This window comes from Homo sapiens, chromosome 1 (assembly GCF_000001405.40).
Source record: "Homo sapiens chromosome 1, GRCh38.p14 Primary Assembly".
Classification (NCBI taxonomy): domain Eukaryota; kingdom Metazoa; phylum Chordata; class Mammalia; order Primates; family Hominidae; genus Homo; species Homo sapiens.
Genome location: NC_000001.11, coordinates 200,433,894 through 200,448,535, shown reverse-complemented (window position 1 = coordinate 200,448,535; position 14,642 = coordinate 200,433,894). Strand labels below are relative to the sequence as shown.

Here is a 14,642-nt window from a genome sequence, read left to right as displayed (position 1 = left end):
ACCAGGGGATTTTGCTGAAGCTGCTTTCAAAACATGAATGACCCATGCTGACATAAGGAAAGAATAAAATTACAAGGTTTGGTTTCTATATGAGAGTTTTGGGGGTTTTCCAGTTAAAAAGTGTTATTTACGAGTACTGTAAAAGTAGGCCAAAAATACATCTTCAAATGCAGAAGAGATCTTTAGGTTTCACTGTCCCAGTCAAAAGAAAAAAGAATTACTTTCCATCCAATCTCTAAAATTTTGGCCACCTGCCTGGTATTTCTCTTCAATTTCACACTTCAAAATGGCCTCCAGGAAGACACGGTTCAGGATCAGTACGAAAGTACAAAGTTGCCAAAATAACCCTTCCATTCTCTTTTCAAAGCCAACCAGCCATCTGAAATCTATGTATACAGGGATCGCTAAAAGTAACCTTGCTTATGAAAGTTATTGTTTTAGTGTCATATTTCTTACAGTATAGGTGTCCCTTATCATAAGCCAACAAAATTCATGAAATTTATAATTTAAGCCATCTCACCTGAATCTTCATGTTTATGGAATTTTAACTAGATTGTGTTCATTTCCCCACAAAACTAACCATAGGTACATTTTTTAAAGACAGTGTTTTGGCGTATTCTTGCATTGATGTTTTTGGGGTCCTAACACATTTTTCCTTTTCTCTACGCAAAAATCATTCACACCAGGTCATAAAGCACCAATAACCACTTAAAATGATACCCTTTCCAAATCTTATCATTTCAAGGCAATATTTCTCGAACTTTAAGGTCCAAAAGAGTCTACTGGGGTCCTTGTTAAAATGTAATTCCTTCTCTATTTCCCCTGGGTGAGGCCTAGGAATCTACATTATTAATAAGTAACTGAGCTGATTCTGATGTAGAGGACCACACAGAGAAATGCTTTCTATTATAATGGGAAGAAGCTCAGATGGGTGGAATTATAAACACTACCCAGTGGGCAGGATGAATTATTGTGTTGAATGTTGGTCTTCTCCCAGTGGCTCCTAAAATGGAATCAGGGAGGAAGCGCTTCACCTGCCTTCAGTAAGGCCAAATTTATTCTTCCAACTATTCGCTCCTTCACAAAATCACTCATTCGTTCCCTCACTCATTCACTCAATCAGTCATTAAGTAGATACATTTTAAGTACTTTTTAGGGAATTCACCTAGGGGCTGGAGAGGGGCAGCACAGAATACAAAGGTTAATGAGACTTATTATTTGCCCATAAATTCTAGTATGGAATTTGGACATGTTAATAAGGAACCACAGAATGAGGCGAAATTCGAGAAATGCCCAAAAATACCAACATACTTTGGGAGTTTTTGTTTACTTATTTCTACCTCATTTTGTTCCAAAATACAATTTGGGGTGGCTCCAGGGATGCATGTGATACAGCAGAATCAAAATAAAACATGAGGAAATCCGAGGAATATAACGGCAGGAAAATAAGGTCAAATCAGTCAGTAGTATACACAAAATGTTCACCTTAAGCATAAGGCAGGGGTCCTCAACCACCAGGCCACTGACCAGTGCTAGTCTGTGGCCTATTAGGAACCAGGCCACACGACAGGAGTGAGTGCAAGCGAGTAAGCATCACCGCCTGAGCTCTGCCTCCTGTCAGGTCAGTAGCAGCATTAGATTCTCATAGGAGCACAAACCCTCTTGTGAACTGTGCCTATGAGAGATCTAGGTTGTGCATTCCTTGTGAGAATCTAATGCCTGATAATCTGAGGTGAACAGTTTCATCCTGAAACCATCCGTGCCACCTCCACATCCATGGAAAAATTGTCTTCCATGAAACCAGTCCCTGGTGTCAAAAAGGTTGGGGACCACTGGCATAAGGTATTCATAGAGATGGGCAGCATGTTTGAGTCTGAGCTTCTCAGTTGCTAAAGTATCCAATCTGTGTCAAGTTCATTTTATTTATCGGATAAAGTTTCTTGGAAACAAAGTCCCCTGCCCTCAGGTGAATCCCCTAAAAAGCATTTTAAGTATATGTACTAAATAATGAATTGATTGAGTGAGTGAGTGAGGGAATGAATGAGTGATTTAGTGAGTGAGTGAATAGTTGAGCAAATCTGGTTTCCTGGAAGCAAATTTCTTATGCAGATCTTCATAAAAGATGTAATGAACACTGTGATGTAGTGAACACTATTGTCAACCACATCTCTTCAAAACATACAAAGTTGTGTTCTATGGAGATGTTTATTGGAATGCCTAACTGGCCTTTGAGAAAAACAATCCTAGGATCACTGCATGCAAAAGAATGAAGTTGGAACCTTACCTCACACCATATACAAAAATGAACTCAAAATAGATTAGACCTAAATGTAAGCAATAACATTAAATGTAAGCAATAATTAGGAAACTTTTAGAAGAAAATATAGGGGTAAATCTTTGTGATCTTGGATTTGGCAATGGACCCTTAGACATGACACCAAAAGCACAAACATCAACAATAAAAAATAAATTTAACTTCAACAACATTAAAAGCTTTTGTGCTTTAAAGAACACTATCAAGAAAGTAACAACAGGGCCAGGTATGGTGGCTCACACCTGTAATCCTAACACTTTGAGAGGCCAAGGCAGGCAGATCACTTGAACTTGGGAGTTTAAGACCAGCCTGGGCAATATGGTGAAATCTGCCTCTACAAAAAATACAAAAATTAGCCAGGTGTGGTGGCATGAGCCTGTAGTCCCAGCTGCTTGGGAGGCTGGGGTGGGAGGATCGCTTGAGCCCAAGAGGCGGAGGTTGCAGTGAGCCGAGATCACATCACTGCACTCTAGCGTGGGTGACAGAACCAGTCCCCGTCTCAAAAAAAAAAAGAAAAAAGAAAGAAAGAAAGACAGTAAAAACACAACCCACAGAATGGGAGAATATATTTGCAAATCATAGATCTGATAAGGGACTTCTTTTAAAATATATTAAAAAAACTCTTAAATAAGAAAAAGACAAATAATTCAATTTAACTAATATGGGCAAATGATCTGAATAGACAATTCTCCTAAGAAAATATACAAATGACCCTATAGGTACATGGAAAGATGCTCCACTTCATTAGTCATCAGGGAAATGCAAGCCGAAACCACAAGACACCACATCACTCTGAGTAGGATGGCTGTAATAAAGTCAGATAATGACAAATGTTCAAGAGGATTGGAGAAATCAGAACCCTCACACACCACTGTGGAAAACAGTCTGACAGTCCCTTAAAAATTTAAACATGAAAGTACCATTTGATTCAGCAATTCCAGTCCTAGGTATACATTCAAGAGAAATGAAGACATATGTCCACCCCAAAACCTGCATATGAATGTTCATAGCCACATTATTCATAATGTCCCAAAGGTGGAGACAACCCAAATGCCCATCAACTGATGAATGAATAAACAATATGTGCAAGATCCATATAATGGGCCTGGCACGGTGGCTCACGCCTGTAATTCCAACACTTTGGGAGGCTGTGGCGGGTGGATCACCTGAGGTCAGGAGTTTGAGAACAGCCTGACCAACATGGTGAAACCCCATCTCTACTAAAAATACAAAATTAGCCGAGTGTGGTGGTGTGCCTGTAATCCCAGTTACTTACTTGGGAGGCTGAGGCAGGAGAATTGCTTGAACCAGGAGGTGAAGGTTGCAGTGAGCCAAGATTGTGCCACTGCACTCGTCTGGGCAACAGAGTGAGACTCCATCTCAGAAAAAAAAGAAAAGAAAAGAAAAAAAATGATCCATACAATGGAATATTATTTGGCTATAAGAAGGAATAGCTGGGTGTGGTGGCACATGCCTATAGCCCCAGCTACTTGGGAGGCTGAGATGGGAGGATCGCTGGAGCCCAGGAATTTGAGGCTGCGGTGTGCTATGATCCCACCTGTTGAATGGCCACTGCACTCCAGCTTGGGCAACGTAGAAAGAACCTGTCTTTTAAATTAAAAAAAAAAAAAAGATGGAATGAAGTACTGATACATGCCACAACACAGATGAACTTTGAAAATATTATGTTAAACAATGAAAAAGTGAAAGAAGCCAGTCACAAAAGATGGCATATAATATGATCCCATTTATATAGTTTCCAGAATAGGCAAACCTATAGAGACTGAAAGTAGATGAGTGGTTGTTTAGGATTGGGGGCAGGGGGAGGAGTAGAAAGACTAGGGAAAAGGTAATAATTAAAGGGCACAGATTTTTTTTTTTTAGAAATGATAAAATTTTTCTAAAATTGTGGTGACATTTGCACAACTCTGTGAATATTCTTAATACCATTCAATTGCACACTTCAAATGAGTGATATGTTTATGTCTCAATAAAGGCATTATAAAAAAACAATCCTAAGACAGTTAAAAACATTGCAATCTAGTATATGATCCTCTAATGGTCTGGCTTGGTTCCAGACAAAATTGAGAAAAAGTAGGAAGGGGCAGGCTGTATATCTTTCTGGAAATCATCCCATAGGTATCATTTTTCATAACTGGGCTTCGATAAGAACAGGGTACAGTAAGTTCAAGGTTACATTTTCTGGCAAGATCCTAAAATGTAATTATATGATGATTAAAGATGAATTTGCATACTTTGGCAATTCAAAACAGAACTCTTCCACAGGAACCGAAGGTTTAATTATATTCTATTCAAAGTGCTTTGAGGTCTTTTGATTAAAGCATTGCCTAGTATTGAAGACAGAGATAAGATGGCCACACTGATCCTAGCCAAGTCAGAATAATTGCTCATAATGTAGAGTAGACTTTAACAATTAAACTAAGGCCGGGCGCCGTGGTTCATGCCTGTAATCCCAGCACTTTGGGAGGCCAAGGAGGGAGGCTTGCTTGAGCCCAGAAGCTTGAGACCAGCCTGGGCAACATGGTGAGACCCTGCCTCTACAAAAAATATTTTAAAAATTAGGCGGGTATGGTGACATGCACCTGCAGTCCCAGCTACTCGGGAGGCTGAGGTAGAAGAATCGATTAAGCCCAGGAGGTTGAGGCTACAGTGAGCCACGGTTGCGCCACTGCACTCCAACCTGGGCTACCCTGTCTCAAAAACAAACAAACAATTAAACTAGCAGTGATCCCAAGTATCACAGTAAACTGAGATAACATTATTATTTTTTAAATAGTGATATCTGCTCTGGTTTTCTTAAGGCCACAGTATCTTAATAAACTTTTTTTAAAGACTGTTACTCAATCGTAAAAGTCCGACACGGCTGGTCACAGTGGCTCATGCGTGTAATCCCAGCACTTTGGGAGGCTGAGGCAGGCGGATCACCTGAGGTCAGGAGTTCAAGACCAGCCTGGCCAACATGGTGAAACCCCCGCCTCTACTAAAAATACAAAAAAAAAAAAAAAAAATTAGCTAGGTGTGGTGGCACGCAACTGTAATCCCAGCTACTTGGGAGGCTGAGGCACAAGAATAGCTTGAACTTTGGAGGCGGAGGTTGCAGTGAGCTGAGACCGTGCCACTGTACTCCAGCCTGGGCGACAGAGTGAGATTCCATCTCAAAAAAAAAAAAAAAAAGTCTGACATAAGACCTTGGCAAGCAGGTGCTCATTGGCATTTCCAGTGGCTCATATTATTTTGTTGTGCAATGCCTGTGGAGTTGGCATGCACTTATATTCCCTCCATCAAAAATAACCACAACATAAAGAGGGTAAAGTTCAAAGATCATCTTGCTCTGGATACTACAACAAATAGATAACTCTTCTTGGATTATCTTTTTGGTTAGAAGGAGTGCAAGGAGGGAGAAGTGTCTAGGTGATGAGCCAAGACCATTTTATCCCATTCAAACAGCCCAGGTTTTCTGCTGTTACTGCTGACTTGACATTGGTAAGAGGCCCTTGATCAGCTCAGATCCTTAGAGGCTTCCTCACAGGGTGGCCTGTTTTGGGTGTTTTCTAACACCAGGATAGATTCTTTCACAACAGCAAGAGAGAAGACCAGTCAGGCCCAAGTCTGTCACCTTGTGGCTCCATCTTCCCATCTCTGTATTCTGTAGACAGTCCTCATTTGGGGTCTTTAGGCCCATTCCCCAAATTAATTAATTATTTTTAAAGCTTCTAAAATCAAGTGAATAAGAAAGAGTTAGGTATACTGCTTGCAGAAGATGTATAAAGTTACTGAATAATAATGAAGTTTTCAAAATGAGCTGTGGTTTTAAATGATTTTTCTTAGATGTAACAAAGAGAATATTGTTATAGCATAGGTGCTCAACTGCACATCAAGATGTGGGTAAGATACAGACTTCATTGCCACTATTCACCGTGTGCCTGAGCAGACCACTGAACCTGCCTGGGCCTGATTTACTTCATCTGTCAAATGAAAGGGCTGCACTGTTTTATAATCATTGGGAGATGACATTCAAGGCATTTTTCTAGCATTAACATTTTATGACAATCTTAACTGATTCTATTCACGTCACAGAGAAAAATCAGAATTGTGCTGCTAACCTATTATTATTTTGTTTCCATGTTTCCCCCATCAAGGAGAATGGCCTTTATACTGCACAAAGTGATTAAGAAGGATTTGATGCCCAGTTTGGGCATCAGAGCTTCAGCAAACAGTTTAGCTTAGGACTCTGACTCTAACCCTAGGGATACAGCTCCTAAAGAGGGGAAGGAACCCACCTTGACTGAGATTTAAAACTCTCTCCCAGAGTACCACTACAGTCATGCAAAGCAGTTGCGGGGTTCCACTGGTGGAACAAGAACAATTTCTCTCTTAGACCTCAGGCTCAGCTTCTACCTCACACAAAGCTCTCGTGTAACAAATATTTATTGAGCACCTACTATGTGCTAGATCCTGAGACTATAGGAGTGACAATATTAACAAGGTCCTCTCTTATGTAGCTTAAGAGAGTTGGAGAAAAAAAAAACAGATATTCATCATAATCATCGATTATGGTAAGAGCTAGTAAAGAAGTAAGTGGGGTGTCCAGATGGATGCAGTGATGGAGAATTATGAGTAGTGGATGGAGAATGTCTTAAATAGGTCAGGAAAGGCCGCTCGGTGAAGGTGACGTTGAATCTGAGACCTGAATGCAAGAGGAAGCTAGTTTTATAAGGATCAGGAGGGGCAAGGAGAACGCAGAAGCCCTGCCGTGGAAAGGGCGTGGGGTGTTCTGGGACTCACAGAATAGTGTATCGGTGCAGAAGAAGCCAAAGGGAGAGAAGCAGAAAGGAGGCTGAAGAGAGGGCCTAGACCAATTAGAGCCGGGCTTGGAAGTCACCATCAAGGGTTGGGATTTCCTTCTAAGTGAGTAGAAGCCATTGAACAGTTTACAAGAGGCAGGATCTGATCATGGATTTTAAGATTACTCTGGCTGTTGCACGGAAGCTGGATCACAGAGGACAGGAGGAGAGGTAGGGAGAGGAGAGTCATTCAGAACTGATAAGGAAGAGATTCAATTTTCTCTGAAATGGTTAGCCAGTTGCACCAGATTTTTTGACCACTTTAACTTCTATCTTACATTTCCATGTATATTGATCTATTTCTGGGCTCTATTTCACCTCACTGTCTATTGTATCTCCCATGTCAGTGCCAAATTGTTTCAATTGCTATAGTTTTAGAGTATATTTTGGTAGGTGGTAGAGCTAATCCCCTTATTATCTTTCTTTTTTCGGAAATGTTTTGCATACTCTCAGTGTCACCTGGGATGCTTCTCAATGTGACCCAGTGAAATCAATGCGATTTCAGAAGTTCCCCTACTGATTAGAACATGCAGCAAAGTCTGGGAATTGCTGTCTGACACATTTATTTTCTTGGATGAATTTCAGTGTGTTTCTGTCAAGCCCTGCACCCCTTCAAATTCCTATTGTTATTTTGATTGGGATTGGATTACATTACTTACTTACTTTCTTTCTTTTTTTTTTTTTTGTTGTTTTTGTTGTTTTTAGATGGAGTCTTGTTCTGTCACCCAGGCTGGAGTGCAGTGGCTCAATCTCAGCTCACTGCAACTTCCGCTTCCCCGGTTCAAGCGATTCTCCTGCCTCAGCCTCCCGAGTAGCTGGGACTGCAGGCGTGCGCCATCACGCCCAGCTAATTTTTGTATTTTTAATAGAGACGGGGTTTTACCATGTTGGCCAGGCTGGGCACGAACTCCTGGCCTCAAGTGATCAGCCCGCCTTGGCCTCCCAAAGTGCTGGGATTACAAGTGTTAGTCACCGCATCCAGCCAAGATTGCATTACATTTTAAAATTAATAATTAATTTAGGGAGAATAAATGTCTTTACAATGAATCTTCCTGTCGAAGTATAAGGCAAGTTTCTTTACATGACACATATCTTTACAGGTATTCGAATCTTCTTTTATGTGAAATTCTTCAGAATGTTGTCTCATTTTTTTGCTATCGCTTTTCTCCTGTTATATTGTTAGCTTGCTGTTGAATACATATTGGAATGCTAGTGGTTTTATTTTTCTTATGTTTTTATCCCATTGCTCTGTGCTTTCTTTATCCTCTTATCACTTTTGCACATGTAATTATAATGTCCTTCCGCCATCTTTGCATATCCATCTATTTCTGCCTCAAGGCCCAAATCAAATTTATTTATTTAATTGATCCAATTAAAATTAAAGAAGGAAAACGTTTGCCCACTACTACCCCCTTCACTCATCCATGTTAACTCCCACCACCATCATCCTCTCTGAGCTATGGAAATGATTTTGCTTCTCTGAATCCTGAAAGCATTTTTTCTATACCTCCATCGTGGCCTTTGTCTTTCCCCATAGCCTTTACCTCAGTGACTTTGCAGCATTTTAAGTACTCAATAAATTTTACAAAGAAACAAATAAAGAAATGACTCCTGTATAGAATAAATAGGTGGATAAATGACAAAGTGAATGAACCAATGACTTAACTGCAACCAAAGTTCTGAGATGATCAGGTTTAAATCAGCCTAAAAATGAACATTTCATGGCATGCTGTGGGAATTTGTCCTTGATTCTGTATAGAACTCTGCAATCATTCACTTATTCATTCATTCACTTCAATCATAATTATGACCTACTATGTGCGAGAAACTGTGTGGGGTGGCAGCAGCTAAGTGAAACTTGGAAGTACCGTTCTTTGCCATCTAATAGATTCCATGGGAAAGCACATTAAAAGAAAACAAGAATGATAGAGTATTATAGATGTTTTGCTATACAAATCTGAATGGGGTTCACTGGGGACACTAAGAAAAGAGCAATTAATTCTAGGTGGGAGAAGGGAAGCCATTGCCAAAGGCTTTGTAGAAAAGGTTAACACTCGATTTGAGTTTTGTGTTTGACATTTTTATCAATTACTTGGATTTGGAAAAGAGGTGTACTTATCACATTTACAGAGAATGCAAAACTTGGAGAGCTATAACAGATGACACACTCAAGAATGTTTTTATAAGTTGTGGTAGCAATACTTCTAAACATTTATACAAAGGAGATCATTGTGCAAGTGCAACAAGACCATATATGATGGTTCTACTTGTAAGAGTGTAATTTGGAAACAAATTACTTGCTCATTAAATTGTACTTCACATGTACAATAGAGTACCACATAATAATGTCAGTGTGCATGGATTATTCTTGTCTTTTACAAGGGTGGGATTCTACAGTTTGGCAACTTGCATTTTTCATGTATTATGTCATGGATTTCTTTCTTTCTTTCTTTCTTTCCTTTTTTTTTTTGAGATGGAGTCTCACTCTGTCACCCAGGCTGGAGTGCAGTGGCGTGATCTTGGCTCACCACAACCTCCGCCTCCCGGGTTCAAGTGATTCTCCTGCATCAGCCTCCCGAGTAGCTGGGATTACAGGCACCCACCACCATGCCCAGCTAATTTTTGTATTTTCTGTAGAGACAGGGTTTCATCATGTTGGCCAGGCTGGCCTCAAACTCCTGACCTCAGGTGATCCACCCGTCTCGGCCTCCCAAAGTACTGAGATTACAGGCGTGAGTCACCGTGCCCAGCCCGGATTTCTTTCTATACTAAGAATTGCAAAACATAAATTATCAAATGCAACTATAAAGTTACTATTATAAATGATGTTTGTTTACTTTGATATTATTATAAAAATTACTCAGTATGTTAACTTTTTAATGTAATCACTCCTAGGTAGTAAAATTATGGGTATATATAATGGGTATATATATATAAATATATATTCTTAATACTTTTATTATTTGAATTTTTTACAATGAGCAGTTTTTTTTTTTTAAAAAAAAGCAACTTACTCTTCTTTTAATCTTACAAAGCTAGTCTACATACCAAAACAAGATGAAAAAGAGATAAATGTGAAGCTCTCATTTCATATCCTCCAAAGAAAGCATACATGATAGCAGAAGGGTAATTTGACAGTTTATTTGAACAAAATCTGGAGTTTTAATTCATCTAATTGCAAGCTCATTGTGCATAATCTCATAGTATAATTTAGATACTAAAATTCTAATGCAATCTTAGGCTACATTAACAGAATTTTAACATGCCACTCGTAGCACTGTGAGCTTGTCCAACCACATGTAGATTTAGTTTCAGTTTTGCACTGCCATAAAAAGACACATTAAAATCTACAGTATGCTCAGCCAGAGGAGAAAGGTCAGAAACTCTGTCATAGATCAATGTTGAGAAAACCCACAATTAGTTTGGAAAAAAGATACAAGTGGGCACGTGTCTGATATCTTCAAATATTTTGTGAGCCGTCAATGGAAATAGCATAGAAGTCTTCTGTGTTGTCCCAAAGAGCAAAACTGAGGCAAAGGAATGGAATTAACAGAGAAGCAGAGTTCAGCTCAATCTCACAATATAAATTAAAGCTGCCCCAAAACAGACCACAGACCTGGCTCCCTACAATGGCCGTAAGAGTAGTAAGTTGCCCACTGTTCTCAGTGGTCAGAGAGGGCAGGCAATCACTTGATGAGGAAGTTACGGTACTAGAAAATTGTTCCAAATGACATACAAGATTCCTCCCACTTTTAAGGTTCAATGGTTAATTTTTTCCTTCATAAATATTCATCCTCATTGGCCCCACGTTCTGTTCATTTGGGACTATATCTTCATTTTATCAGTCATTTAAAATCACAATCCCATAATCCTTAGTTGGAGAAGCCTGTGGCTCAAAAGCCAGCATTTTAGGGTGGTATTTCTTTTTTTTTTTTTTTTGAAACTTTTGAATTTATTTATTATTTTAATTTAGGTCCAGGGATATATGTGCAGATTTGTTATATAAGCAAATTGGATGTTGCAGGGGTTTGGTGTGCAGATTATTTCATCACCCCCAGGAGGTATTTCTTGATATGAACTCAGGCCAAAGAAACTTGGAAATGAATCCTGCTGGGCAACCTCAGGTCTTTTCACTTACAGGATTTGTCTCAATAAAGAAAAATTTTGTTAATAAAAGATATGTAGTGCTACCTGAAATTGGCAATGATCATTCAATTACTTTCCACTGATGATGCAAAGGCCATTAAAATTATTCATGGTAGGTCTGCTTTGACTGTGCCATCTTCTCTTGGCAAGGGTACTTTAACACTGATGCCAAATGACCCACTGATGTCTGCCACAGTACAAAGTTATTTTAACATACCTTTTAAAATACAATCATCTGGACCAAGTATTCTGTGCAAGAGACATTCTAACCCCTTATGCCATCCCTGAACCGTATTTCTAATCCTTACCCAAAATTTTTACTTGTCTCTGAATCTTGCCCCATCACAAAACCTTACTAATCCCTTTATTCCTTTTTTTTTAAATTAAAAAAAATAGCTTTGACTTTAGGTCTTGTTGTCCATGCTGGAGTTCAGTGGTGCAATCATAGCTCACTGCAATCTCAAACTCCTGGGCTCAAGTGATCCTCTTGCCTCAGCCTCCTGAGTAGCTGGGAGTATAGGCACATGACACCATGCCCAGATCCAATACTTTGATTCCTTCTCCATGACAGAGCCTGAGCTCATTATCATTCTCAGCAATCCTTGGAATCCTTGGAATACTAAACTCAGAAGGCCTTGGGGAGGTAGAAGAATAATTTCTCATCTCTCTCTGGGTTTCCCTTCTTAGGTGCAAAAATCTGGAAGTCAAGATGTCAAATGAAGGAGGATGTGAAGGAGGATGCTAAAATAGTGCCCATCATATGGAGGCAAGCAATCAGCTAGGATGGAATAAATCTAGAAATTCCTGGGGGAATTTTTTTTTTTTCGAGGCAAGGTCTCACTCTGTCACCCAGGCTGGAATGCGGTGGCGACTATGGCTCATTGCAGCCTCGACCTCCCGGGCTCAAGTGATCCTCTCACCTCAGCCTCCTGAGTAGCTGGGACTACAGGCACGCACCACCACACCCGGCTAATTTTTTGTATTTTTTGTAGAGATAGGGTTTCACCATGTTGCCCAGGGTGGTCTCAGACTCCTGGGCTCAAGTGATCCTCCTGCCTTGGCCTCCCAAAGTGCTGGAATTACAGATGTGAGGCCACCGAGCCAGGCCTGAAAAATTATTTTTTAAGCAAAATTATTTCTTATTAATTGGCTTGTTTCCTTTCTATTATGCTCTGTAGTGATAAAAGCCCTTAGTCTTACTTAAAAGCATTATTTCCACCTGATGATGATAGCTTTCATTTATTAATTGATTAATTGTTGATTTGTTCAATCATTCATTCGTGGATGCCTGAAACATTTACTGAGCATTGCAGTCAATAGCAGGAACACAAGAAGGAACAAGACACAGTGTTACTCTCAAGATGCCCACACTTAAACTGGATTGGCTCTTCATGCTTGATGCTCCTGAAATGAAAAGGTCAAACTTGGAAAACAATAAAATGTCCGGCTCTGATCTCTACTGGGTAAATCTCTTCCCAGAGACGAATCTTAAAGAAGTGAGGTTTTATTAAGAATGTAGCTCTCTGGGGAACTCCTATTCATCCTTTGAAACTTATGAAAAATACTTAGGATAGTGTCCAGTGTCTTTAACAGAGTATCCGGTGTCTTTTCCAGTAAACCCCTGACTCACCCCAGTGCTGGACAACCTCTGTATTTTATTGTTCGTCTTTCCCTCTCTTCTTCCAGAGAGTTAACTCCTTGAAAGGAGGAACTGAATTTTGGCATGACTATATCCCAGGACCTGGCACACTGCCTCGCACATAATTGGTGCCCAGTTAACATCCCCAAAATTGAATTGCACTGAAGGCTCAGTGGCCTGCTGTTGGCATAGCAACCTATCTTCAAGTGTTGGGGACTTTTCTTTTCAGATGATATCTTTCCTAAAACTGTCTAGATATCAAAGGTCTTAAACTTGCACAGTCGCAACAGGAGAGACCTTTAGAGGAAACCTTTCTACTCTAAAGGACGGTTATTTTCATTCTCTTAAATCTCAGCGTAGTTTCTGCTCTCATTTTTGGTTTCCACATGGCAGCTCTTCTTTGTGGGAACAGCTGACTGCAGCTTGGTCACTTCTGGACATGTCTGTCCTTCATCCAGAGCACCACAGAAGAGAATCCTTGTGTTTTCACACAGGAGTTCTCTCCTTTGATCCTAATTTAATGTCCTGAGCTATAAAAAGGAACCATTTCCCATTAACTCTGTTATTTATGAGAATATATACCGATGCAGACAAGATTGTATGAAGCAAAAATCAGAGCTCCTGCTCATGAGGTAAGGCAGAAATCAGTACTGCCACAAATAACTGGGATATAGTGCCACTGGGTCTTGCGCTCTCCTCCCCAAGTATAATTTTCTTGAATGTCAAGTACATTCTCTACTTTTTTTTTTTTTGAGACAGAGTCTTGCTCAGGCTCTGTTGCCCAGGCTGGGGTGCAGTGGCCCGACTTCGGCTCACTGCAACCTCTGCCTCCCGAGTCCAAGTGATTCTCCTGCCTCAGCCTCTCGAGTAGCTGGGATTACAGGCACCCGCCACCATGCCTGGCTAATTTTTGTATTTTTTTTTTTGTAGTAGAGACAGGGTTTCACCATGTTGGCCAGGCTGGCCTTGAAATATTGACCTCAAGTGATCAACCCGCCTTGGCCTCTCAAAGTGTTGGGATTACAGGCATGAGCCACCACGCCCGGCCATATTCTCTACTCTTAAAAAATTGCCCCACAGTTGTCAACAGATGCATTGTACCCCATGATTCTTCCATATACTTCAATGACAGGGCTGTGCAGTCTCAGGAGAAAGAAAATGCACTTGGATCTCAGTTTTAATTTCTTGCTCTGCCACTTATTAACTTGTGACCTTGGGCAAGATAGTTGGCTTCTCAGAGCCTCTTTTCTTATATATAAAAGGGTTATTTTGGGAATAAATGTAATGAAGTGTGTAACATGTCCAGTAGACACCATAGACACTTGATATACTCTAGATCCTTTTGCATTTTCCTCACCTTCCCCTGTGTCAGATGAGACATTAAAATGATATAAACTGGACAAAAACATGATTAAAAAACAAAACAAAACACAAGTTTAAAGTTCTGACTTCCAAATTCCTGAATACCTCATTCAAGAGACTGTGGTCACATACAGAATAATCCGGGTTACATCTGGATTGGGATCCCAGTATCCCACCACGGGCTCCAGGATTGGTACATTTTGTGTTTCTTTGGGTTGATAGTGGTCAATTTACCTAGAATCAACTTCACTCATGTGACTTTGCAATGTTGACTCAGCTTTTGTCAAGTGTATTGATGAATGCCATTTAGAACACA

General features: G+C 40.1%; 1 annotated feature.

The window, feature by feature from the left end:
• Positions 55-134: an enhancer, noted in NCBI's record as "active region_2299". NCBI's record gives its function as "activates an Ori minimal core promoter by ATAC-STARR-seq in GM12878 lymphoblastoid cells {active_cell/tissue: GM12878}" and the evidence as "EXISTENCE:reporter gene assay evidence [ECO:0000049][PMID:35858748]".